The sequence below is a fragment of the Homo sapiens genome, chromosome 6 (assembly GCF_000001405.40).
Source record: "Homo sapiens chromosome 6, GRCh38.p14 Primary Assembly".
Lineage (NCBI taxonomy): Eukaryota > Metazoa > Chordata > Mammalia > Primates > Hominidae > Homo > Homo sapiens.
The window spans coordinates 166,727,000-166,754,031 of record NC_000006.12 but is presented as its reverse complement, the minus strand read 5'-3'; the positions used below and the strand labels follow the sequence as shown (position 1 = coordinate 166,754,031).

At 48.6% G+C, this 27,032-nt stretch overlaps 1 protein-coding gene across 6 annotated transcripts in view, besides 2 other annotated features; it reads left to right on the top strand.

Annotated features, from left to right (window-relative positions):
• RPS6KA2 (ribosomal protein S6 kinase A2) overlaps window positions 1-27,032 on the top strand; it is a 453,410-nt gene that overhangs the window by 108,742 nt on the left and 317,636 nt on the right. The gene's annotated exons all lie outside the window — the stretch shown is intronic.
• Window positions 11,412-11,580: a silencer, noted in NCBI's record as "fragment chr6:167155940-167156108 (GRCh37/hg19 assembly coordinates)". NCBI's record gives its function as "represses an EF-1alpha promoter that drives an FKBP-Casp9 reporter gene in an ReSE screen in K562 erythroleukemia cells {active_cell/tissue: K562}" and the evidence as "EXISTENCE:reporter gene assay evidence [ECO:0000049][PMID:32094911]".
• Window positions 16,601-17,800: an enhancer, noted in NCBI's record as "P300/CBP strongly-dependent group 1 enhancer chr6:167149720-167150919 (GRCh37/hg19 assembly coordinates)". NCBI's record gives its function as "activates an origin of replication core promoter dependent on BRD2, BRD4, P300/CBP, MED14 and CDK7 cofactors, with strong dependence on P300/CBP, by STARR-seq in HCT116 cells {active_cell/tissue: HCT116}" and the evidence as "EXISTENCE:reporter gene assay evidence [ECO:0000049][PMID:35650434]".

Below are 27,032 nucleotides of genomic sequence, written 5' to 3'. Positions count from 1 at the left end.
CTCGGGGCTGGATTCTCACGGGAAGACGGACGGCACAGGAGAGCATTACAGATCAAGTTCAAGCATGGCCAAAGGCACTTTCCAGAATTTGGGTTCCTCATCATGCTTGTGTTGGGTTAGTACGTTTCTGACAGTCGTCTCTCTTGAAATTTCGGGAAAGTGGGCATCTTCTTGTAGAGGATCCCAGAGCTCTTGATCTGTTTTCTTCATTATTAACCGTGATAGCTCATGGGCAACGCAGCTCAGTGTATTTTCCCAGTTTCATGGTTGCTAATGACTGTTTAACAACCACAATAAGTGTGGTAATAAGGGCTTTATTATAATAACACCACACATTAACACAATCTAAATAACAGTCAAGATGTGTTTGTAGGGAGGTGACAAACTTTCATAATAACAACAGTTAACTTTATGTCCCTGTGGATGAATTTTTAAACTGCTGTGTGATTTTATTATCAAACACATCCGAGTTGCTGTGTGTGTTTGTTTTTGCAATATGATGTCATAGTATTAATAGATAGCTGTGGAAGAACATGTAGAAAGGTCAACACAGTGATTTTTATATAAATATAGGACATTTTGTGTTCATAAGACAAGAAAAAAATTCCAACAGCATTACACATGTTTTAAAGTATATTATTGATTCTTTACAGAGGTTAATTTTCTGAAGTTATAACTAAAATTTTATTTTTAAGGAGTTTAGTGAAGAATGGACAGAGAAAGTCAGTTGAGTGCTGCTGTATAAGCAGAGGTGGCGTCTCCTTGTTCAGCCTGAGGGGGACTGTTCTTCCCTTGCGTAGATTCTTCTTTACTGGGTGCTCCGGTTATACCAGCTGGGGACTGGGGTGAAACCATGAACAAGATAGATGGAGCCCTACATCTGGCTTAAGTCTGGCAGGACAGCCAGCCCCTTTGCTCTAGGTAAACCACACACTTCCTACAGAAACAGGGTCACCAGCAAAGAGGAGTTTGTTTTTAATGCCCCATAAAGGGAGTGGTATCTTGTTTCTGCCCTCTGCAGTGACTAAACCCACAGAATAAATTGCTTATAGTCGGTAGGAATGGGCCCTGCGTTTCACAGCAAATAAATCCAGGTGCAGAGTTAGGGGACAAAAATATTTACCTACTCAGCAGAGTATACAAGGCTTAACACAGTGGTTAGGGAGTGGGCCACCATTACCCCAAGAGTATCCATCTACTTGATGCAGATTTTACCAAGAAACCAGCAACAACAAGCACAAAACTATGGGGAGAGTCAGGGGGAGAGGCTAACAACCACATAAAATGGTGTGGGGACCGCAGGTGGGAGAACCAGGTTGTGATCCGTGCTTTTCCTTGGGAGAAATCAATTAACTCTGTTAGTCTCAGTCTTTCTTTCTTTTAAAATACAAGGGTTTGAGTAAATGATCTCTAACACCAAGAATCATCCTTTTCTATAATAACCTTAATCATCATTATGGGTCTATCATCTCTGAATTAAATTAAATATTTAATAACCCATTAATGTTCTTAGCTAATGTCAGCTTTTGAAGTGACTGTATTCCTATATTTTTACTAATTATAAAATAAGATTTTGAAAAATCTCTCTCTGCCTTTCTGTCTCTTAAGGTTTCTCTTTCCATTCATTCTAAATTGCCTCTCTAGACTTCAGTGTGTCCGCTCGCTGTTGAATGTGAAGCTGAGGTTGGTAAAGGATGTGTACTCTGGTCTTGCTCTGCGGTGACTGTGGACGCGCTTCACAGCCCTACGTTTCAGAGGCTGTTCACTCTGTGTGATGTCTTCATCATACTCACAGAGGACCTGGGTTGTGGCTATACCGCCCATTGGCTAGGCCGGCCCATCTGGAAGATCACAGGTTATTAATGACTAAAATAGTTAGAAACGATGTCTTTATTTAAAATAATAAGCATTGATTTTATCTAATTTCTAACAAATGCACATGAGACATTGAATACCCAGGTACAAATGGACCTGGTGTCGCCTTTGAGGTCTCAGGTACTCCTTGGCTGGCCTGTGCTGGCCCCTTTGTCTTCTGGGGCCCCTTTCTCCAAGGAGTCTGGCTTCTGTGCTCCACGGAGTCTGGCCTCTGTGCTCCATGGAGTCTGGCCTCTGTGTTCCACAGCGTCTGGCTTCTGTGCTCCACGGAGTCTGGCCTCTGTGCTCCATGCTGTCCTTGGTCCACAGGGCCTGACCTTGAATCGTCATGAAGACATGTTCTGCTCATTCTGTAGATTTCCTAGAGTCTGTGCCACTGTTTGGCTTTGCATAGAATCCCCAAATCGGCTGACTATTGGACTTCACTAGGATGCGAATGGTGCAAAGTTTGATCCAACTGGCTGTGGTGGAAAATGGAAACTTGTGGGGCTTCGAGCAGAAAATTTGGGAATACCTTGATTCCAAGCTCAGACACTTAGACCCCTCTTTCCACGGCTCCAGTGGCGGCCCAGCCGTTCCAGACACCTAGGCCAGCAGAGAAGCCAAGCCTCAAGCCCCTGTCGCCATCTGTTATCTGCCTTGGGCTGGCCGGCCTGCACCTCCTCCACGCCCTGCGGTGCAGCTTTGCCTCCCCTGAGGGGTTACAGGCTCTGCTCAGCTGCCTCCTGCTGCAGAGCAGACCACAGCCCAGCTGGCTGACTCAGGGCCAACTCAGGGGAAGCCCTCCTGTGACTGTGCGTTTGACGGGACCCTGGCAGCTGCCGTCCCTGGAACTCATCTGAATTCCTGTGTAATCTCTGCCCCTTCCTGAACGCACCTGGCCAGAGGGCGCTGGTCTTGCCTCCACCTTGGGAAGAACAAGCAGGCGGCTTGGAAGCAGGCTTTTTGAGGTTTCAGGGAGGAGCACGGGGCTGGCAAAACTTCCGGCTGACTTGGGGAAGTAATGCTGTAAGATCTTACTGCTCCGCTATTTCACCGCTGAACCTGGAGGCCTGCCGTCACCTGCAGCTCGGGGGCACTGCGTGAGGGTTATAAACTTTGTGAGGTGCTGAGTTAGGGGATGCAGAGGCCAGCTTCGGTCACAAAAGCACACTTCACACTTTCTAGAGTGTCAGCAGCCTCACCTCTGTTTAGGCAAATAGAATTTGTCCCCTCAGAGAGTTGTGCTTTTCCTCCTGAATATGATCACAGTCTACGCAGCAAGAGGGATGTCTTAGCCCTTGGCCAGTTTCTAAATGATTCCAAGGAGCAGAGCTTGGATTTACAGAATTTCCCATTTCCATTGCTTTAGACCAATTCTCAGCTAGAGTTCCTGACCTCCTCAGTATGATCCTTGTCACTCTTCTCTTTCTGGTGCATGAGGGCTGGAGACTTCCGTGGCAATGTCCCAGACCAATGACACCCATCTGTGCTGCGTGCCTGGCATGTTCTAGGCACAAGGGATGCTCAAGGAGCTCGGGCTCGGGTGGCACCTGCGGTCCTCAGCCACAGTAGAAGGGAAGACAGCACAGATGCAGAAACCCCCGTTGTGACAGAGTCAGAAGAGGCACGGAGGGCAGTTCCTGGGCCAGCAAGCGCAGAGCCTGGGCATGTAGGAAGCAGCCAGGGATGTCTGGGGATTGACAAGTACAGGCCCCGGAAAGGCGTGTGTCTGAGGAGGAGGAGGGTCAAGAGGGGCTGAGGGAGACTGTGTGGGAGGAGTGTGTCACAGATGTGCGTGCACTGCGTGGGGTGACTCGGGGCCTCCAAGGCTGGTGAGAACTCAGGGAATCCCAGGGACCTCTAGGGTTGGGGTGGGGCCCTGGGCTGGTGAGCACCCCCCCAGGGGAGAAGCTGAGGACACAGGAGGGGAGCACGCCCGATGTCTCTGCAGCACTGCAGGGCACGCTAATCCTGTATGGCTCACAGAACTAACAAAACCTAGGCGGATGGAACCGCCCTTCACAGTAGCACAGAGTGGGGCTCCAGGAAGCCAACTTCTCTCCGGCATGGGCACCTCAGGGGCACTTGGTGCGGCCCCTGCCTTCTCCCAGGAAGGCCCCCTCCTCCCTGCCCCTCCCCGCTGACTCAAGCCGGGCTGGACTCAGAAGGGACATGCCAGCTCTGCTTCCGATGCTGACTGTGTGGCCACCTCCACCGCCCTCTCTGTTTTCCTCACTCAGTATCCCCCTTCCCCTTGCCCAGCCTCCTGCCTTAGTCTGTGTGGTGGAAAGGGGGAAGGAAGCTTTGGGAGGAGGAGGAGGAGGAGAGGCCAGGCTCCCGCTGCAGCTCCCAGCCAGGCAGTGCAGACATTAAGGAGGATGGAGATGGGGACCTGAGGAAATGGGGGCCTGAGGAGATGGGGGCCTGAGGAAGAGGGGCCCAAGGGGATGGGGGGCCTGAGGAGGTGGGGGCCTGAGGAAATGGGGGACCGAGGAGATGGGGGCCTGAGGAGGTGGGGGCTCAAGGGGATGGGGGCCTGAGGAGGTGGGGGTCTGAGGAAATGGGGGCCCGAGGAGATGGGGGCCTGAGGAGGTGGGGGCCTGAGGAAATGGGGGCCCGAGGAGATGGGGGCCTGAGGAAATGGGGGCCCGAGAAGATGGGGGCCTGAGGAAATGGGGGCCCGAGAAGATGGGGGCCCGAGAAGATGGGGGCCTGAGGAGGTGGGGGCCTGAGGAGATGGGGGCCTGAGGAGGTGGGGGCCTGAGGAGGTGGGGGCCTGAGGAAATGGGGGCCCGAGAAGATGGGGGCCTGAGGAAATGGGGGCCCGAGAAGATGGGGGCCCGAGAAGATGGGGGCCTGAGGAGATGGGGGCCTGAGGAGATGGGGGCCTGAGGAGGTGGGGGCCTGAGGAGATGGGGGCCTGAGGAAATGGGGGCCTGAGGAGGTGGGGGCCTGAGGAGGTGGGGGCCTGAGGAAATGGGGGACCGAGGAGATGGGGGCCTGAGGAAATGGGGGCCCGAGAAGATGGGGGCCCGAGAAGATGGGGGCCTGAGGAGGTGGGGGCCTGAGGAGATGGGGGCCTGAGGAGGTGGGGGCCTGAGGAGGTGGGGGCCTGAGGAAATGGGGGACCGAGGAGATGGGGGCCTGAGGAGGTGGGGGCCTGAGGAAATGGGGGCCCAAGGGGATGGGGGCCCGAGGAGATGGGGGCCTGAGGAGGTGGGGGCCTGAGGAAATGGGGGACCGAGGAGATGGGGGCCTGAGGAGATGGGGGCCTGAGGAAATGGGGGCCCAAGGGGATGGGGGCCCGAGGAGATGGGGGCCTGAGGAGGTGGGGGCCTGAGGAAATGGGGGACCGAGGAGATGGGGGCCTGAGAGATGGGGGCCTGAGGAAATGGGGGCCCAAGGGGATGGGGGCCCGAGGAGATGGGGGCCTGAGGAGATGGGGGCCTGAGGAGATGGGGGCCTGAGGAGGTGGGGGCCTGAGGAAATGGGGGACCGAGGAGATGGGGGCCTGAGGAGGTGGGGGCCCAAGGGGATGGGGGCCTGAGGAGGTGGGGGCCCAGGGAAATGGGGGCCTGAGGAAATGGGGGCCCGAGGAGGTGGGGGCCTGAGGAGGTGGGGGCCCAAGGGGATGGGGGGCCCGAGGAGGTGGGGCCCCCATGGAGGCTGATCTGCCCCCTCTGCCCAGCATCCTCCAGCCCCGCACCGGCATCTTTCCCGGCGCAGTTCCCCCTCACTAGCCTGTGGCCAGGATCAGATGGAGTCATTTCGCTGAGGCACTCGGTGGAGTTTCTGCCGGTGGAAGACACCGCAGAAACACCCATTACTTGTTAGTTTTCAGGATTTAGCTGTTTCTCCTGCCTGGGGAGGTGGTGGCGCTGGCAGTGGGAGCATGGAGCCGGAAGCCTGGCCCGCACTCCCTCCCGGGCTGCCCTCATCCCGCCCTCCTGAAGACAGCACGTGCCACACTCCTCTGACCAGCTTCCTCTACGGTTGCTGCTAATTTCCATTTTTCAGAAGTAATCTCTTCGCATGGTTCTAAAGTTACAGAGTCTATACAAAAGTGACAGGATAAGTCTCGTTCACCCTGGTCACCACCCCCTGTCCAGCATTTGCCCTCGGGACAAATGAGACATTTCCAGGCTCCTGCAGATCTACAGGGACCGTTGGCACATTCACTGGCATGGGCAACTCAGGGCAGAATGTCAAGCACACACCCCTCTGCACAGTGCCTGTGTCTGCTCTGTGTCCGTACACAGCCGCTGCCTTCTCACAGCTGCAGAGGTCGAGAATCTGCTGTAAGAGCTTCAGGAGGAGGCCCCTGTGCCATCCTGTCTCCTGCAGAGGTCGTTTGCATTGGAAAGGAAGCACCCCAGCTAGGCGTACCCATGGGAGTACAGTCAGGCAGCTTGGACCTGAGTTCATCCTCAGCATCCACGCACACACCAGCGCTGCTCTGAAGCCTTGCTGTAAAGAGCACACCAGCTATGCTGTGTGGCCACCTCCACCGCCCTCTCTGTTTTCCTCACTCAGTATCCCCCTTCCCCCTGCCCAGCCTCATGCCTTAGTCTGTGTGGTGGAAAGGGGGAAGGAAGCTTTGGGAGGAGGAGGAGGAGCGGCCACACATAGCTGCACAAAGCTGGAAATCTGTGAGTCGGGCTTGTGTCACTAAGACATGCGATGTGCATTTGTGAAGGATGTTGTAGAACATTGTCGGTGTGCAAAAGTTTGAAATAGCCTCTAAGGTGTCTTCCAACTGGGCCATTCTTCCATTATGGTTGAGTGCTCCTGACAATCCTTGAGGCAGGCAGTATCTGCGATACCAAAATACATATATGTGCTCTTTCTTCCCATTTCCTGAACCCCTTGGAATCGGTGAAGTGATGAGTGTCCTTTGTACACGAATGGGAGGACTGGTGGCTGAGGGCCCCTGAGTAGCTTCAGGATGGGGGCTGGTCACCCCAGAGACCACAGGCAGGATTAGAGGGTTGAGACTTTCATCCCCACCCCCAACCCCCAGGAAGAGGAGAGGGGCTGACGGTCAAGCTTATCACCAATGGCCAATGATTTGATAAAGCCCGTCTATGTAATGGAGCCTCCATAACAATTCAAAAGGACTGGGGCTGGGGAGCTTCGGATTACTGAACAGCCGGAGGATTCCGCAGGGTCGTGCTGCCCAGAGGGCACGGAAGCTCCACACCCTTCCCCATGCTTCACCCCATGTCCATCTCCATTTGGCTGCCCATCTGTGTCCTGTAATATCCTTTACAGCAAACCAGCAAACCTTAATAATGTGGTTCTCTGGGTTCTATGAGCTGCTCTAGCAAATTAGTTGAAGACAAGGAGGGAACTTGAGGCAAATTAGTTGAAGACAATAGGAACCCCTATTTAGTTGAAGGAACCCCTTCAATAGGAACCCCTATTTAGTTGAAATTAGTGGAAGACAAGGAGGGAACTTGAAGCAAATTAGTTGAAGACAATAGGAACCCCTATTTATAGCCAGTTGGTTAAAAGCACAGGCTACAGCCTGGGGCTTACGACTGGCATCTGAAGTGAGGGGTAGCCTTCTGGGACTGAGCCCTCAACTTGTGGAATCTGAGGCTATCTCCAGGTCGGTAGTGTCAGAATTCGAATTGAATTAAAGGACATCTTGCTGGTGTCTGTGCAGAACTGATCGGTTGCTGCTGGGAAGAAATCCCCAGGCACTGTGGAGACTGCAGGTGAAATGTGGTATTGCCTGAGAGTACAGAGTAGGATAAACACTTTGATAGGTCTCCAACATATGGTGTCAGAGTGTTGGGTTGACTGTGTGAGAACAGGAAAACACACGCTGAGTTTTCCTGTGTCCTTATCCCAGATACTGAAATGGGAAATTAGCCTCAACAGGTGAGTTTGGATCCAGTCACATGACTGGTAGGTGCAGGGGTGCAGGAGCTCAGAGGAAAGCTCGGTGTTGTTCTTATCACATGGCCTTGCCTGCTCTGGGGAGAGCCTGCATACTCCAGCTGGGTGTGTGCGTCCCAAGGCACTGGCCACTCAGCTGTCCACTGGCTTCTTTGCTGAAAGGACCATCTAAAGAAATCTGTAGAGGCGGAAGGTGACCCGGGCAGGAAAAAGCGTGTCTCAGTAGCTGCAACACGGATACTTCTTAGAGACTCACAGCAGCACCGCTGGCTCAGATGTGAGCGAGTGATGTTCTGTGTTTCGTTCCTCATGTCCTCACTGGGCAACCACAGCAGCAACATTAATATTCTGTTGGGCCTGACAGCTCTTTTCCAAATTAGTCTCTATTTTTTGAGTCACCAGTTGTAGAGACGATGGATTCTAACCTCCACATTTCGGTAGATAATTTTTAAACCATGACACACTAGGGAGTTGTGGCAGGCCTGAGAGTCTCCTCAGCCTCACACACCCGAGGTAGATAGAACAGTGCTGCACGTGGAGCTGCCAGCTCTCAGCATTTTTGCCGCAGCGCCCAGGCACTGTTGTCACCCCCTCTCGTTCTCTGAGTGAATATTGGGTGGAAACCCAGGCTTTGGGGTTCTGTTGTTATTATAGGCTGAACTGTGCCCTCGCAAATGTATGTTGGAACTCTAAGCCCAGGACCCCAGAATGGGACTGTATTGGGAGGGAGGGTCCTTAGAGAGGTGATGAAGGTAAAATGGTCTTGAAGGTGGGCCCTTGTCCAATCTGACTGGTGTCTTTATGATAAGAGGAGATTAGGGCCGGGTGCAGTGGCTCACACCTGGAATCCCAACACTTTGGGAGGCCAAGGCAGGTGGATCACCTGAGGTCAGGAGTTCGAGACCAGCTTGACCAACATGGTAAAACCCCATTTCTACTAAAAATACAAAAATTAGCCAGGCATGGTGGCACACACCTGAAATCCCAGCTACTCAGGAGGCTGAGGCAGGGGAATCGCTTGAACCCAGGAGGCAGAGGTTGCAGTGAGCCGAGATGGCGCCACTGCACTCCAGCCTGGGCAACAAGGGCAAAACTCTCTCTCAAAAAAAAAAAAAAAAAAAAGGCCGATTAGGACACAGACACACACAGAGAAAGGGCCACATGAGGACAGGGGGAAGGACACTGTCTCCAAAGCCAAAGAGCAAGGTCCCCCTAGAAGCCAACCCTGCCAACATCCTCATCTCTACTTCCAGCCTCCAGAACCGTGAGAAGTGAATGTCTGCTGTTCCAACCACGAGCCTCTGTTATTTGTTACGCAGCCTGAGCTGACTCATACAGCCCAGTGCACCCATGAGGAAAGGCAGGCAGAGGTAGACTCCATTCCCAGAGCCGGGGAAGGCCCAGGCCCCCTAAGCTTTAGGAAGGGAGGGCCCAGTACTGAGGGTGCTCCCTCTAGTGTCTTCAACTGGAGTCAGGTGCAGGCTCGCGACCCCACCGCCGCCAGGGACGTGGAGTGCCGCTTTAAATCCAGAGCCAAGCCCAGGCCTGCATGCCCCCAGGTGTCATCTCCTCCTCTCCTGGGGCCTGCCCTCAAGCAGATGTTGCAGAGGTCTGAAGGGGCAGCGCGGGAGGACCCTCGGGGGTGTCTGGGCCTGGCCCACAGGGTGGGCCCTGCTGCACGGGTGCGCGGCTCTCCAGCCTGGGCCCTGCTGCAGCGCAGTCTCCTCTGAGGCAGTCCCTGGGGGCTGAGGCCCAGCACCGTTTTTTCTTAAGTCTGTCGCCATAGAGCCTGTGTTTTGAAAGGAGTGCAGGCCCCCGGGACCCAGCCTACCCCCAGAGGCCTCAGCGGGCAGCAACGCTCCCATTCCCCTCCGACTCCCCGGGCCCGGGGCCGCGTCTCAGGTCTGCGGCGAGGCCAGCATGGCCCAGAGGCACGGGGAACCCCTGCACACGCTGGCCGAGGCCGGTGCCTTTGCCTCCCAGTTGGAGAGCCAGGGACCCTGCCACCAGCCCCCAGAGGCCACTGCATCCACAGGGCTGGCTGTCCTCAGAGACTTTTTAAAAAGGAAAATCCAGGTCGGTGGATGGAATTTCATGAATGCAGAGTGCTGTGTGGAATGGAAGGGAGTGACCACACTAGCGTGGGTGGGTGTTTACCCCTGTCTATGGGAGACAGAACTTCCTAGGGGATACTCAGGTGCTCAGGGTATGAATTTGAGACACGGGTGGGATGGCTCAGGGCCCCAGCACTGCACTCGGTGGTTGACAGGAAAGACAGATCTTCGGAAAGTGCCAGAAGCTGGATTAAAAGGGAAAATATTCAGACCTCTCATTGTCTCACTCTGTGTTTCTGCTGCTAAGGGAGATGGTGCCGTGCACTGACCACCGCCAAAGCCCTGTCTGCCGTGCACTGACCACCAGCCAAAGCCCTGTCTGCCGTGCACTGACCACCAGCCAAAGCCCTGTCTGCTGTGCACTGACCACCAGCCAAAGCCCTGTCTGCCGTGGGCCTGGTTTGTTAACGTTCTACGGGTGAAAAGTTAAAGAGAAGGCAGAGAATCCCTCTCGCAGGATGCATGGCGCCGCCAGGGGCATAAAAATGTCCTAAAATGCCCGTGTCAGTGTGTGCATGTCTCAATATACCAAAGGGTTACAAGAGACGGCGGTAGCTCCCCGGGGTGTGGAGAGGCCTCCAAGCTCTTTGTAGATTAGGTGGCACTGTTGTTATAGCAACCAAGGACCAGCACTTTCTGCTGATGTGTAAGTGTGTGTGGCCTCAAGCACCTGCCCAACTGTGTCTTTCATGTTCCACACTCATTAAAAGCCGTGATGTGGCTAAAGTCGCTGAAATTGGAAGTGTGCTTGGGTTTGGGATTGTTCTTCGGCCTGGTTGCTGGGCGTTCTGTGGGCATGTTCACGAGGGCAGTGTTCTCCAGCCCTTCCTGGGGGAATGGCACCAGGGTCCTGGCCTGTGCTGGGCACCATGAGTTTGAAGTCCCGCAGTGTGAGTTTTCATAGCCCATCCTCAAAAGGAGAGTGAGCTGTGAAGTTTCCTTTGTGAACCGTGTTTTGGTGACAGTTTGCAAGTTTAATGCTGGCTGGTGGGGGCCACGGAGCTGGCCTCGGCTCCAGGGTCTTGGGCCAGTTGCTAGAGAGATATGCAGAAATCAAGTACATAAGTGCTAGTTTGTGTATGTGTTGCAGCAGGCCATTCTTGTCCTCTTTTGTTACCAGAGTGTCTTTGGGGAAGTGCGCTAGCTGCTTTCATACCAGTATTCTAGCTCTGTGACAAATGTCTTGGGAAGAATTCTGCTCTCTGGTAGGTGGATGATTTTGCGTTATTTCAGCGCCATTAGTCAGAGCAACTTGTGCCTCCATAATGGGAACGCTCCCGTTCTATGGGGTCTGTTTGTGTGTCTGGCTTCTCAGTGTTTTGCAGGCACGGACGGGACACAGAGTGCTCCATTCACCTGTTAACAAAATAATGAAAAATCCCTGCTAGCTTGGAACTAAGAGTTAATGAAATGATGCATTGAGCAGACATTATGAGTAATAAAAAGTATGCAGTGTGGCATGTTGGTGGGTGCAGTGGAGAGAAGCACAGAAGAGGAAGGTGTTGCTGGGAAGGATGCTGCAGGAATGAGAGGCGGATGAAGGACCTAGGATGCAGTACAGCTTAGAGCCGTCCTCCCCTCCCGTGGCCACCGCAGGGAGAGCTGCCACAGCTCCTCGTGTTTGTGTCAGGAGGAGGCAGAAGGGAAATCCTCATGGATTTGGTTGCAGGTTAGCATTACTTTTTGCATTTTGCCACGCAAATGCATTTTCTCCTTTAACTAGAATCATAGGTCTGTGTCTCTCTTATGACACAACTCTGAGACCCACACCGGAGAGGATACCACACCAAGGGTTCCCTCAGCAATAAATGTTTTCGTGAGAAATCAGAGAATTCAACATTTCTTCTTGAAGAGATTTCTTCTTGAGCTGCCTTTGTTCACTCCTGTGCGTGGACAGACATTTGAAAAGCCCTGTGCACACAATCTGTGCAGAGCATTAGTGATGGGGCCCTATTTATTTCAGTGTTAATGGTACTCAGCCCAGGGCTGTTGGCCTGTCTTTTTTTGTTTTGTTTTTTGTTTTTGAGATGGAGTCTCGCTCTGTTACCCAGGCTGGAGTGCAGTGGTGTGATCTCAGCTTGGCTCACTGCAACAGCCGCCTCTCAAATTCAAGCGATTCTCCTGCCTCAGCCTTCTGAGTAGCTGGGATTACAGGCGCCCGCCACCATGCCATGCTAATTTTTGTATTTTTAGTAGAGACGGGGGTTTCACTATGTTGGCCGGGGTGGTCTTGAACTCCCGACCTCAGGTGATCCGCCTTCCTCGGCCTCTTAAAGTGCTGGGATTACAGGTGCGAGCCACTGCGCCCGGCCTGGCCTTTCTTGAGGCAGCTGTCAGGGCTGGTACGGTGAGAGCAGAAGAATGCTGGAAACGGGGCTACCCAGATGGAACTCCCAGGAGAGCAATTTTCTGGGGTTTCTGTCCCTTCCGTTAACCTCACTCTTGGCCCTTGAAGGCGGGGCCCTGGAGGGCTGGTGAAGAGCCACCCATTGGGTATGACTGCTCGTGGCTTGCATACTTAGGGTACACATAAGCAGTGGGTGATCCCTCAGCACAGTACTAAAGGACACCGGGGCTCTAATGATCCTAATTCAATCCGTTGGTCTGTAATTAGAGGCTGTTAAATTATCCACTTGAGTGCCGGTTTAATATTTATTTAATTTTTGTGCTTTCCGTTTTTCGATGTGGCAGGAAATTAAATATAGGAAAGTGCAGAGAATGATTTGACATTCAACACTCAAAACTTAGATATAACATTTGAGTCCCTGGCGAGCCAGAATCACATTTAGACCATGTGCCTCAGATCATGTTAAGATAAAGCTGACGTTCCCTTTGTAGAGCTCTCAGTGGCACCCACCACCCCTTCCTTTCCCACCAACGCCATCCACTGGCTTGAATTCCGTGTGCAAACCTTCTTATCCACGTCTTTACATATAAGCAATGTATGCATAAACAATGTGTATAAACGGTGCATAGAATGGCTTTGTGTGTTTAAGTCTCATCAATGGAATTATACTGTACATGTTTTTCTGCAAGCCATCTTTTCTCCTTCAGGTGTCACTGATTTTGCTTATCTGTACCCCTTTGGATGAGCGCCTGCATTACCTCCTCATCTGGGCTGTTGAACGTTGCTGCATGTGTCTGGCAGTTGTGCATGTAGGCATGGAGCCGTGTCGTGACATACGCGCATTTCCAGTTGGTACTGCCAATTACCCTCTGTTGTGAGTTCTGTTAACAGAGGGGGCACTCCTTGATGCTTTCAGACATTTCAAACGTTTTGCCCACGCAATGCATGGAATATTTTCATCTGCATTTTCCTGTTACTGGTGAGGCTGGGTATCTGTTCAAATATTTACTTGGACATTTTGGTTTTCCCATTTGCGAATTGCCAGCTCATACCCTTTGTTTATATTTCCACTGGGTTACTGTCTTTTTGTTGATGGTCTTTATAAATTCTGGAAATCAGTCCTTTGTCACAAATGCTGCAAACATCTTCAAAGAGTTTTCTATCTTTAACTTTGTCTATGTGTGAGTTCTTTTGTAAGAAGAAAGTTTTTAACTTTCAATATTTTTGTGCTTTTATTTTGAATTTTTTAAAGAAGCTATTCCCACTTAAGAACATAAAGACTGGGTTGTTCTTCCTTATTGTTAAATTGTTATACTCAGTTTGATTTTGTATATGGAATAATATAGGAATCTAATTTCATTTTTCTGATAGAAAGGCTCTCCATGGATTAATTGCACAGCTGATCTTTGAGGAGTCTGTTTTCCTCTCTGCTACTTTGATAGATTTTAACTGTGTTTTGGGTACTGAGAGCCCCCCAGTCACCAGTAAAGTAAACAGATAATAGGTTGAACATTATTTTCAAAATAAGCAGTAGGGCAGCTTGTTCATTTTGAATCATAATTTTTAACAGTGCTGGACTTAATCCAGATGGTTTCTCAGGGTGCAGCAGAAGCTACCACAAGGTAGGTGTCTCTGGTGGTCAGACCACACCCTAGTCACTGTGTCCAGTCCACATCCTGTCTTCTAAGGGCAAGAAGCCACGAAGAGCATGTTCATAGAGAATGCTCAGGGACCAGCTCCTCACCCACTGGGACATCAGGGCCCTGGGCACTGGTGTGTGTGCATAGCACAGGCCTAGCCCTGGTAGGTGTCCCATAAATATTTAATGAATACTTAAAGCAGGCCCTGTAGGAAACAATGAAGGTGCTGGTGTCATCCACATGAGAGGAAGAACACAGTAAGAAGGCAGGCTTTCCAACACTTGGCTGTGTTACGGAAAGGGGTTGGGCTTGTCCCGACTGCCCTCCTGATACCACGGGACCACGAGTGGAAGCTGCACGGAGCCAAGCCCCGTGCACACTTAGCTCTTTCAAATCCAGAACTTTGGAAGATCCAGTGGCTCCTACGTGGAGATGTCTCTCCCATCACCGGAGTCTTTTAGGCGGAGGCTGCATTGGCACAGACAGAGGGATTTGCAGAGTGTGATTGGTCTCAATGACCGTGGGGTCCCCTTAACCTGATATTCCTGAATCACACGACACCCTCTTTTCCTGTCTTTTCCGTACCCGCTCTCTCATTCGGTTGCCTGACTTAGACACTGAGCAAAAGCTCCCAGTGAAGCCAACAGACTCCCAGCCTGCTCTGTGAGCTCACAGTAGAAACGCCAGGGCCCGGATTTTAGAGACGAGCTCTAATGGGAATTCCCTTAGTGGGAGGCTTAAGGGTTTCCACAATGTCTAGGGTTGTGCTTTCACTTAACAGCTGTGCTCAAGTAATTTAGTTAGGGATCCTTACCTAGAGGGTTTCCTAGAGTTCATATTTCTAAGTTTATCTGCTTAAAGTGTTTTTGCATTCCAGCGTTAGCACTGTGCAGATTTAAAACTATTTACATATGGAATAGCACCATGAGAAATATCAAAGAAAAGAGGAAATGTTAAAATTGTCAAAGCCATGAGTTTAGACAAGTTAAATCTGAGTGACTCACTGCAGATACTTAGCTTGTCATGAATTTTATAAATATTTGCTAATTCTTGTAAATTTTATTTCTGATGTTAGGGTGTTTTTCTCCACCCTCCCTGTGGCTTTAAGAATTACTCTTGATTTTTCCTACAGTTTCCAGTGAAGCAATATTGCTAGCATTTGTATTCAGTTGTTCACATTTGGAAACCTATAGGTGTTTTCAGGAGCACTCATCTTGCAGACATGCACACCTGGATATCTAGGCTGTAACTACATATTTGCTGTGTAAAGCTTGGGAATGTTTCCCAAGAGCCATTGGCAGGAAATGATGGATGGCCTCTAATGTCTCTGGAAATTTTCTTAGTGGCAGATTCCATTGCTGGACTCAAGCATTTCTCTATTAATACTTTTCTTTTGCAACTCCGTGGATTGATATCTTTCCAGTTCTATGTGAAAGTTTGCTGTCTTCCTGGCAGACGTCATGGTATCCAGTGACGTCGTTTTTATTTAAAGCCATATTCTCTTTCTTCCCATGTAAAATGGGAACAATACTGGTAACATGTCCAGGGCCATGGGGACAGTTAAATGAGTCAACCTAGTAAGACAGTTACACACGCCGGGCTTGAAAGGCAGTGCCTGCCTCCAAGGTACTGTGCAATCTCCTTGTGAGTGTCAGCTGGGGCTGCCTGCCTGATTCTCGGTCCTTGTCCTTGTGATGAATTCCTCTGTTTTGAGGGTCCACCTTGGCCTTCCTGCTGTAGGGTCTCTGCTCTTGGCCTTAGACCCTTTTCTTCTCCCTGGACCATCCCCCCGAGGCCTTCCTTCAAAGCCCCACTTCCCAGCCACCTCCCTGCTGCCTTCCAGACCACTGGGTAACCAACTGGGGAATTCACTGGATGGGTTTCCAAATGTTGGAGGACTTCCTCCAAAACAGTGGCTTTCAGGACTGTTTGAGTTATAATTACTCTTTCTGTCATTTTATTTAAAATAATAATAATGAACTGGAGATAACCTATGTGTACATTCATACAGGATTGGAATATTTAACAATAAAATACTAGCATTCAATATGTTCATTGATAGGGAAGAAATATCCACATGTACTAAATGCAAAAGGCAGGTCATGGGACAGTAATATAGCAAAAATAGTACTTTAATTTAAAAATGAATACAATATGGTATGAATGCATATAAATTCTAGGAGGATGTAAACAATATTAAAAGGATTCTCTCTGAGCGATGGCATGACATTTTTATTTTACTTTGTATACTTTTCTGTATGTTTTATTTCTTTCACAATGAGAAATAGCTTCGTTTCATAATCAAAGTTATTTCTGTTTATGAGAAAATAACTAATACAGATTTAAAAATAACCAAAGGGATTTGAGTTTAATTTAGAGTTCGTCTAAACAGGGAATATACTATTTTGGGTACGGCATTTGTCAAGTTCAGAACCGTCACCAGAGTCCTTTATAGCATCACAGGAGTTAGATCCATGGCCCAGGTACCTGGGGGGATTATCCGGACGTTAGCCTGGAAAGCTGGGAGGGGCCCCTCAGTGAATGTCTTAGAAGCTTAAAAGGAGTCAGTAGTAGTTTCCTGTGAAAAAGCTCATTCTGTTTTTAATTGAACAATTTGCAAAGGAGACGTTTAGAATTCTCTTTAATGCCTCTGGAGTGTGATGCTTATCTCTAATTTATAGATTTTTCACTGTCTGCTTGATGCTGATTATAAATGAGTAAGGCGTGCGTCATTTCTCGAGGTGTCTGGCTATGCATGCCTACAAATCTAAGGGAGACAATTAAGCACTTTTTAGAGTGAAAAGCAAACTGGTTACCTACCAATTATCACACCAGGCTGCCGCTGGGGTGAAGGGTCATGGCAGCCACACGATTTATTAGGGAGAGACGCCAATAGCCTTGCAGATTTATTTGCTTCTAAATAATATTACAAGTGTGATCTGGTTCATTGTAGACTAAACAGAGAATAATCAATATTTGGCAACTGATGAGGAATGTCTTAAAAATTGTGTCTCTTAGCCAGGATTGCAGGAAATTGAAAATCAAGGACCTCGTTTGTGACAGTTGACAAAGAATGTGCATCTATCTTTTTGCGTCTGTAAAAAAGCGTAGGCTCCATGCGCTTTGCCGCTCTCTTTCCCTTCCTGCCCCCTTTTCTCCCCTCCCAGCCCCTCCCTCCCCACCCCCTGCATCGGTTATGGTTCTGGGAGTACATGTCTTCAGGGATTTTCCCATTTTGTCAATTCTGCTAGGAGATATTCTGTTTTCATTTCCTCTTGCCATCATGACTGGCAGCTGGATGGTGATTCATGAACTTTACAACTGGAAGAGAAAGGCTTCTCGGGCTCCCTCTGAAATTCCCATCATTAGTCAGCCTCTCTGGTCTTCCTGCTTCCAGCTGAGAGGAGAGCTCACTTCCTGATACACTGACACAGGCCATAGAGCTTTCAGGGCGGGGTGGGTGGCGACCCTCGGCCAGCCTCATGGATGCAGGCCCGCTGTCTGGACAGGATGAACTGTGGATGGTATCTTAGAGTTTTGCACACTTTGGAGTGGGTTTTTTGTTGCCAGGAAAAAAAATGGAATGATCTTCACTTTCCCTAAGACATGGAATCTTGATATTTTGTGACCTTCCATTGAGTTTGGATATATTTTACTGGAGAAATCAAAAGGAATAGGAAGAAAAGGACATGGGGAGCATTATGGAATCCAATCTGTTAATGACACTAAGTGGCAAATAGCAAGGTGGCAGAAGTAAAGGGTTAATGTGAAAATCACCTGAGAATAGTCTTCAGGCAACACACAGTTACGGTGTGCCCCTGCTGTACAGAATGATGCCACGGGACTCTTGAGAAAATCTCAGTGGAGATCACTGCTTTGAAGTAGCATCCAAGAAAGAGCAGAACAAAATGACCCAGTGGATTGAATATACTTTGAGACAAATAACTTCAACTCTGTCATGTAAGACATAAAGTCCAAATGTCCTCAGCTCTGTAAGCCCCAATAATTTTCTGATGTTGAAACAGATAATATCACACAAGTAGATTTTATGTCCAACTTACTTGTATATGTTCAGCCTTACTTAGGTGATAAATAACTAGAAAATCAGCTGTTCTGCATTGGTCGAGGGGTCTGACTGTTCCAGAAATTTTACCATGGTCTTTATCACTTGGGAACCTACACCTATTTTTAACAATGAGTACATTATTCAGTTGGATCATATTTGTACCTATAAATCACCCAGTGTGCTGCCTCTTTCTTACGAAGCTTTTCAGAGCTGTCTGTTGTAGTGTTTTCCTAAATCAGGAGTCCTCAACCCCTCGGCCACAGACCATGTCCTGTTAGGAACTAGGCCACACAGCAGGAGGTGAGTGGCAGGTGAGTGAGCGAAGCTTCATCTGTATTGACAGCTGCTTCCCATCAGTTGCATTATCGCCTGAGCTCTGCCTCCTATCAGGTCAGCAGCAGCATTAGATTCTCATAGGAACTTGAACCCTATTGTGAACTGTGCACACGAGGGATCTAGGTTGCATGCTCCTGAGAATCTAATGCCCGATGATCTGTCACCATCTCCCATCACCCCCACATGAGACCGTTTAGTTGCGGGAAAACAAGCTTAGGACTCCCACTGATTCTACATGATGGTGAGTTCTATAATTATTTCATGATATATTACAGTGTAATAAGGATAGGAATAAAGTACACAATAAATGTCATGTGCTTGAATCATCCTGAAACTGTCCCCCACCCTCATCCATGGAAAATTATCTGCCACAAAACCAGTCCCTGGTGCCAAAAAGATTGGGGACTGCTGCCCTAAATGGAGACTAGTCCGCCATGAGAGTATTGTCAATTCCTACTATAGATGTTCACGTTGTTTCAGTTTTTTGTTTTGTTTTGTGTCACGTTGTTTGCTTTTGCAAATAATTGCTATAAACATATTTCCTTGTTGATGGGTGCAGAAGTTTCTCTGCAGCACAGCCTGAAGCGGAGTGGCTGGGCAGGAGGATGCCCCTTCCAGCTCTTCTTATCCTGCCAAAGCTTCTCCAGCATGGACACGCTTAGGGCCTTCTCAGAGTTCTCCAAGTTTGATGGAAACTTAATCCAAGATGGTCTTTTTGTGAATGATATAATTCAGAAATTGGATCTAAATTCAGTGGCAGTGCAAGGCTATAGACATAAAGGTTTACAGTTTCTAAACTGAGACTTCTTTCTGACTGAATAATGTTTCACTGATTGCCATAACAAGAGGATAGGAACTTTCAAAATCTGTGATATTTTCTCATTCTGTATGTGAAAACACTGTCATGGTAAAGGTGAGGATGTTTAACATTTTATGAGACAAATTTATAAAATATTTAAGTACCCCCAAAGGAGGAAGTGATTTATAAATAAAGCAGGGCACTGCTTAGCACCAGTTCCATGGTCTTAGGTATGCCAGCCTCAGCCACACACGCTCCCTCTCATGTTGAATAAGGCACATTGTCACAGGGAAAATCAGCACGCCCCCAGTGACTCTTGCAGTGCTTCAGGCCCCACAGACCTGTGCTTAAATTCATTGACTTTCTTAACACCCCTAATGAACAATGGCTGAGTGTCTTAATTGGGACATGAAAGAAATGATTGCCGGGAACCTCCTAATTACTTCACCAATATCAGCCGCTGCTTGTGAGCACAGAGTAATTATATACCATTGGATGGTAAGATGGTGATGGCTTGCTGATAGCTTACGTTTATTTCCTAGCACCTGAATATGGAAAAGAGGACCTATTGCTCTTCCGTTTGGGTAGGTGGCCCTTAGGGAGAAAATCTTGAGTTGAGAATTCATGTCAGTATAAACCCTTACTCCAAAGGGTCGATGTCAACATCTTAGACCCCTGCTAAGGAGAGAAACAGGTATACGAGGCAAGAGTGCTCGGGTTCTGCTAATGGGAGTTATAAACTAGTAAGAAGAGTGAGAATTGCTGCTAGCCATGAATCCTAAGCTCCTGCCAGGAGCCCTCGGCCCCCTTGCCCCTCAGGGGCCATACCTAACTTTCCTCTCTCCCCTCAGGGCCTGTCCCAACCTCTAAACAGGTGATCTCATATCCTATTGTTGGGGAAAATTGAAGCAATCTATCAGCTTACCTCAACTTCCTGCCTCCCTCTTACCAATGTCCCTTCGCTTGCATGCACCTTTGCTTTTGGAGGTCAACACCCCTCAGTCCTCTGTTCCCACACCCTAGCAGTGATCCTACTCCACACCCTACAGTTTCCTTAGAAATCTCAGTTTTTCATTTTACCATTTCTCTTTCTATTGGTTTACTCTGTTCAGCCTGTAAACCTGCTCATATCCGCTTTATAAACAGAAAAACGCAGAAACCTTCCTTTTACTTCTCTCTTCCTCTTCTCTCCCAAACAGTTTAGGGATGGCACCTACCAGGGCAGCCTCCACTTCCCCACTTAGAGTGAGCTCCGGAACCCGCTGAAATGTGACCTGTGCCTGGGACATTCCATGGAAACTGTCCACGAGGGATGCTAGTGACCTCCGTGTTACCAAACCTTTTTCCTAAAGAGACTGGCACTGGCTTCCATACATACATGCTACAAGATAAAATTAAGATTATCAGACGAAGAAAATGAGATGAGAAGAAGGAATATAAGATCCGAATGAGGAAAGATCAGAAAGGTCAGCCATGGGGTTAGTACCCAAAACTCGTACTGTAAGGGTCCCTATGTCTTTTTGGGAGTAGATCCTGCCCTCGTTGGCCTCTAAATTTCCTGGACGACAATGCAAAAGAACATTCCAATTAATTCAAGGATGAGTTCCAAGACATAATAAACTGATCAAGACGGCCAACACCACTGCTGTTACTGACAGTGGCGGCATCAGTCCTGCATGTCCATAAAGGGTCTGTGACTTTGGGAACAGTGCCGTCCACAGGACTCTTGCAGCCTAAGGCTATTAGGCTTTCAAAAGTACTCCCATTCTGGCCGATAATGTGACATCCAAGTATAATTTGATATCATGTTCTGAAGGCTCAAAATGATGTGCAATGGTTTGGCATGGCCCTGAGTACAGGGTAGGCTCGATCCACAGGGGGCAGAGCATCTCACCCTTAGGCTCGTGAAAGCTTCTGCAAAGAGGGTCCCAAACCTCCAGAAATCCGATGCAAAACTGGGCAAATGCATAAGTGTGCACCCCTGCCTCCCACCCTGCACCCCAGCCGCTCCGGTTCCTCATTTCCTCTAAGCCAGCAGGCTTCACTTCAGGTCTTTTGTTTTGTTGTGACTTACTTTTATTTGAACACCAACTTGAACCAGAGCAGCCTTCACTTTGGCTGTTCCCTGCCTCCTTCCACCAGACTCAGCCTCCGGTGGCCTTCACAGCTCCCCCTGTCATCCCCCTGTCATCACCTCTGGTAGGAAGAGGCTCTGACCGGGCCCCTGTGCTGTGCCCTGGGTGCACCCCCATCTCTGCACCTAACATCATCTGTGGGAGCTCCGAGCTTCTTTGCGCTTCCATCCCCTAGACAGCAATCCCTGCAAAGGCGGCTCCTTTCTTTGATGCTGGTTGAAGATTCAACAGTCTGGATGCAGTGGATGGCTGTTGAATGGACTTGGAGTGGGCATCTGTTTTTCAAATCATGTGAACTCCCATAGCAAGCCCATGTGATAAGGTTCAGTGATTCCCGGTTCACTGTCCCAGGATGTTTGTAGCCTGATGGAAGTCACATCCCTCCAGGTGGACAGGCAAATATCAAGGCCTGGGCTGTGCGGCTTGGTGACCCAGCTCTCTCCAACAGCCTCCAATAATCAGACCCCATGTGCCACTGGCTTCATGGTGGACTTTTCTGAGATATTTCTGAGAATGCTTCATCCCAATGGAAAGACATACTTCTAAATTGTATTTTTATCAGTCTATTTTGGGGGAATCATGAAGCTATACAGAAGTGCGGGAAGACTTTAACAGATGCCAGGTTCCCAGCATCCAGGTTGATGTTACTGTTTTTGGCACATTGTATTAAAGTATTTTTCTTGGTTATTTATTTATTTATTGGTAAAACAAAAAGGAAAAGAAAAAGGAATTAAGGTCTCTGGAAAAGGTATTCCAGTTTTGTTATTTCTCCCCAATCCCATCCCTTCCCGTCTCCTCAGTAGCCACCACTAATAAAAAATTTCTATGAGGCCTTTCCATCTACTTTTGTACTTTGAAAGAATATTTATTAAATAATGCTGACTAAAGAACAAATCAGGCTTTTAAATAATTAAAGTTAGTTTTATTCAGGAGCTTTGCTGAGGACTGTAGACTGAGGTGATGGCCCCGGGGGAGTCCTTTAGAGAGGTTCCATGGGACCGCCCCACACAGGGTTTCCACCCACCACTTCTATCTAGGTGGTGGAGCTTCAGTCCGTGCAAATTCACATCCAGGTTTGGGCGTAAGTGTACATCTGGTCGCAGATTACAGAAGCATTGCGGCTAACCTCATCAGAGGTTGTGTGTAGGAAAAGGCAAGGCCAGGGTCATTTACCTCCTGAGGAATGGAGCGACTCAAGCAGGAGATGCCGGGGGCTGTGTGCTCTGTCCTGCTTTGTCTTCAAAGCATCTTTCTGGAGAGCTAGAGGTCATTACAGAATCAGGGGTTTTCTGAAGTGCTGTTGGCAAGCAGAAAGAAACAGACATGGCTTCCGACATTTGTTACTTTGTCTCACAAGTTCCTTGCCCCGCCCCCACCACGCCCCTCCTTCCCCCTTTTAATCATAAATCAGCTACTTGGTTGCATTTACAAGACCAATGCTGATTGTCTCTAATGGCTAGGGGGATCTTTACTAGGGCAGTCGGCAGCTTCTAGCTGTAGTTGCAAGGAATAAATGTAGGGCCCAACGAACATACTTGCCTCTTCATTGGAAAACACACTTTGGATGGCTTTTTTCTTTTTTCTTTTTTTTGAGACGGAGTTTTGCTCTTGTTGCCCAGACTGGAGTGCAATGGCGCAATCTCGGCTCACCGCAACCTCCACCTCCCGGGTTCAAGCAATTGTCCTGCCCCAACCTCCCGAGTAGCTGGGATTACAGGCATGCGCCAGCACGCCCGGCTAATTTTGTATTTTTAGTAGAGATGGGGTTTCACCATGTTGGTCAGGCTGGTCTCAAACGCCCGACCTCAGGTGATCCGCCCGCCTCGGCCTCCCAAAGTGCTGGGATTACAGGCAAGAGCCACTGCACCCGGCGGATGACATCTATTTTTTAATTATCATGATCTGAGATTTTTTTCTAATGTTGCCTTTCCTGCACCTAACAAACCACCTCAACCGGATGACTACCCGGATACTACAGATTCTTCATAGCAGCACATACTTAACAGCATCAAAATGAGTTTCCCAGATTGGGGGAAAATAAACATGATAACCATTTAACAAAACCAGAACATAAATTTGCGTATTCTTTGATTAATTGTACTATTTTTTTCTCTTTTTGTACCTATATTTATTAGAGTCTTTTTCATGAAAAGCACTTTTGGACTAGAGCTGATTTCAAATGTTTATAGAGAAGAATTTAGAATAAAAGCTGTGAATGACAAAAACTTAGACTAGCCATGGTTAAAATTTGATGAAAATTTTCAATTGACAAGAAAATTTAGTTGGTTCTATGACACGCAGCATTCTAAGGTAACAACCAGAATTATGAATGACAGTGTCATGTCAGGATCATTAGACTTTTGCAAATTTCATATAATCATCAGAATATTCACAATAACATCCACATAATTTTATAAAACATTTAACAACATCAAAATTATGACTGATGACATATTTTTATGAATTTATATAACTTTTAGAATATTTATATCAATAACATACTCATAAATGTCCATAACTCATAAACCAAACTAAAGAAGTTCCCATATAATTTATCATTTGACAATGCCTCCCATACAGTTTACCAGATAAAAGTTCTGGAGAAATGTGCCAAAGATATCAAAAGATTCAAAACAGTTGAGCGAGACAGAATCACAAGTCACTGTAAAATAACAGTTATTCAGTTAACCAGAGTGATGATCAAAGACTTCAAAAGCAATATAGAAAGTTACATGCATGTGAGAATCTTAATCCTTCTAAAGCTCAGTTTTTCCAAGCAATCAGAAAATCTAATAAAGGCAACACAGAAAATTATCTTGATGAAACATAAAATCTTTATTTCTTTAGACCAGTTACGAAAAAAGGTGGAGAAAAACCCTCCTGCAGTGGGATTGCTTCTCCTCATGGGAAGCCCATTTAGACAACCTGGCAGTCAAACCTGATGAGAAGGGCCCTTGAATTTCGTCACACACAGGAAGTGGGTGTCCAGGGTTATCACACACTATGTTACAGGGGAATATAAATAAGAAAACTAGTACTTTGATCAGGGAAATATATGGCCCTTACTAACAGCATGGGAAGTTTCTTGGTTGCATTGAACGATCCAGACATTTCAAGAAAAGCCGAGAGAACAGAATCAAGTTACGTTAGAGGAAAACATTGCTTTCTTAGACCTTCAAGATAAATGTTTCAGGGTGAGTGTGGTGGCTTATGTCTGTAATCCCAACAGTTTGGGAGGCCAAGGTGGGCAGACTGCTCGAGCCCAGGAGTTCAAGACCAGCTTGGGCAACATGGCAAAATTCCATCTCTGCAAAAAAATTAGCTGGGTATAGTGGTGCATACCTGTGGTCTCAGCTACTCAGGAGGCTGAGGTGAGAGGATCATCTGAGCCCCAGGAGGTGGAAGCTGCAGTGAGCCGTGATTGCACCACTGCACTCCAGTCTGGGTGACAGAGTGAGACCCCATCACACACAGAAAGAGAAAGAAATAACATCCTGAGCAATGGCAGGTGACTTTGATGTCTCACTCCCTGTGGCTGGCTCTGTTTGCCTGAGGCAGTGTGCGTTCCCTGCACCAGGGCTTGTAGGCAGCCATGAAGGGCCCTCGACTGCTTGCTCTGTGAATGGGCAGCAGAGGTGACAGCTGGAAGGGGTTGTCTGGCCGATGGATGTCAATCTTGTTTCACGCTCTGCCTAGGCTACCCCCTACTCAGCAGCCCTGGCAGGAGGGCTAGAGGGAGCGATGAGAGGGAAGAGCATGCTGGCACACCTGCTGTGGGGTGGCCCTTCCGCAGGGGAGCACTCCATGTGTCAGCCTGTGGTCACTTTTTGCAGCAGTCACTTCCTCCTTTGGTCTGTCTGGCTAGTGAAGGGCAGCACACCAAGTAAATGCTGAAGTAAAGTAAACCAAAGGAGGGATGCAGCTACACCTCACAGGTTGAGAAATGCCAGTTTTAGCACACTAAAATGATTGTTTCCAAGAATGTCGTGGACATCACCCACATGAGACCTGCCTGGCGGGTGCCCGACCCCTCCAGGCAGTCCCCATGCCCAGCTCTCTCCAGCTGTAAAGCAAGAGCTGATCTGTATGCGTCGAGACCATACCGTTTTTTAGAAGTGAGAAAGTAAGCACGTGGTATTGATCCTACATTCCACAGATTCTATTGTAAAATCAAGACAACACTAATAATTTCCAGCTTCCTCTGGTCAAGCAATTTGTCTGGATTGTGTGCTGGAGGGTGTGAGTCTGGCTGACGGGGAGGAGGGCTTCTCTGAGTCAGCTGAAGGAAGCCGTCCACTCTTTCCCTGGGCACTGCAGAAACGTGGCTCAGAGACCAGAGTAAAGGGGCCCAAACTGGAAGAGAGAAGAATAGGCTTGTCATGTACCCATGGGTGACTCTTTTTTATCCACTGCAACGCTCCCTGGGACAGCAGTTTCTTACCCTGGAAGCTCACGAGACCCCGGGGGACCCCTGCGTCCAGGTCATGGGAATTGCCCACACCACGTGGAACCTGGGTCTCTGCCATGAGGGGCAGGGATCTGATGAGTGACTGGGCCTGGGAACGTTGTTCTGAATCACCCTGGCCAGTCCGCCCCATTCGTACAGATGAGCACCCACCCCAGTACAGCCACCCCTCTGCATCTGGTTCCAGGACCTCTGTCGACACCAAAATTTGCACTGCTCAAGTCCCTCCTATAAAATGGCATGGTATTTCCACATGGCCTAAGCACATCCTTCTGTATTCTGTAATTATCTCTAGATTACTTATAATACCCAATGCAAGGTAAGTGCTATGGAAATAGTTGCTATACCATATTGTTTAGGGAATGATGACAAGGGAAAAAGTCTGTTTAGTATGGACATGACCATCTGGTTTTATTCCCAAATATTTTTGGTCCTCAGTTGGTTGAATTCATGGGTGGCAAACCCCTATCAGAGGGTCACTGGTGCTCGGCTCCTGAAGCTGTAGTCTGGCCTTTGATTTTCAGCTTTGCAAGCTGCTGTTTTTTACAAACTGTGGCTTTACCTCTTGACAATTCCTGACCCCTTTATCTAGCAGCACTGCACCAGGCCAGGGGGCCACATTAGGTTGCTGATAGTTTAGGCTGCTGGTGCCTTAAGGTGCTGATATTTTAGGGTGCTGGTGACTTAGGGTGCTGGTGCTTTAGGGCGCTGATACCTGAGGGTGTTCAGGATGCTGGTGCCTTAGGGTGCTGGTACATTAGAGTGCCGGTGCTTAGGGTGCTGTACCTTAGGGGGCTGGTGGCTTTGGGTGCCGTCCCTGAGGATTCTGGTACCTTAGGGTGCTGGCACATTACAGTGCCGGTGCTTAGGGTGCTGATACCTGAGGGTGCTGATGTTCTGGGTGCTGGCCCTGGTGTTGTTTTAGGAGCAGCACTGCCACCAGGCATCACAACCTTCATGACCCATCTTCCAAACCTCAGGAACTGGTAACACATTACAGCATATATTGCATTACAGCTGTGTGTGTGTGTGTGTGTGTGTGTGTGTGTTTGTTTGTTTAAGTATGATCTATAATTATAAGATGCGATATAATAATATGATGTAAACTGCATTACTTTCAATTCTTTCACACATCAGCAGAATGATTCCATGGCCTGTTGAACGACATGTGAGGTGTGTTTTGTTGTTGGACCAGGTCTTTATGAGCTACCTGAAAAAGAGGATGCTAGCTGCTAATTATATAAATGCCCTCAGGAGAAACCACCCCCAGGTTATGGGGAACTGTTGGGATATGTGGTCCTGGTGAACGAACACAGCAGTGTCCATCTCAGAGTGCTTCTGATAAAGTCGTGTAAGTTTCTGATCAGTG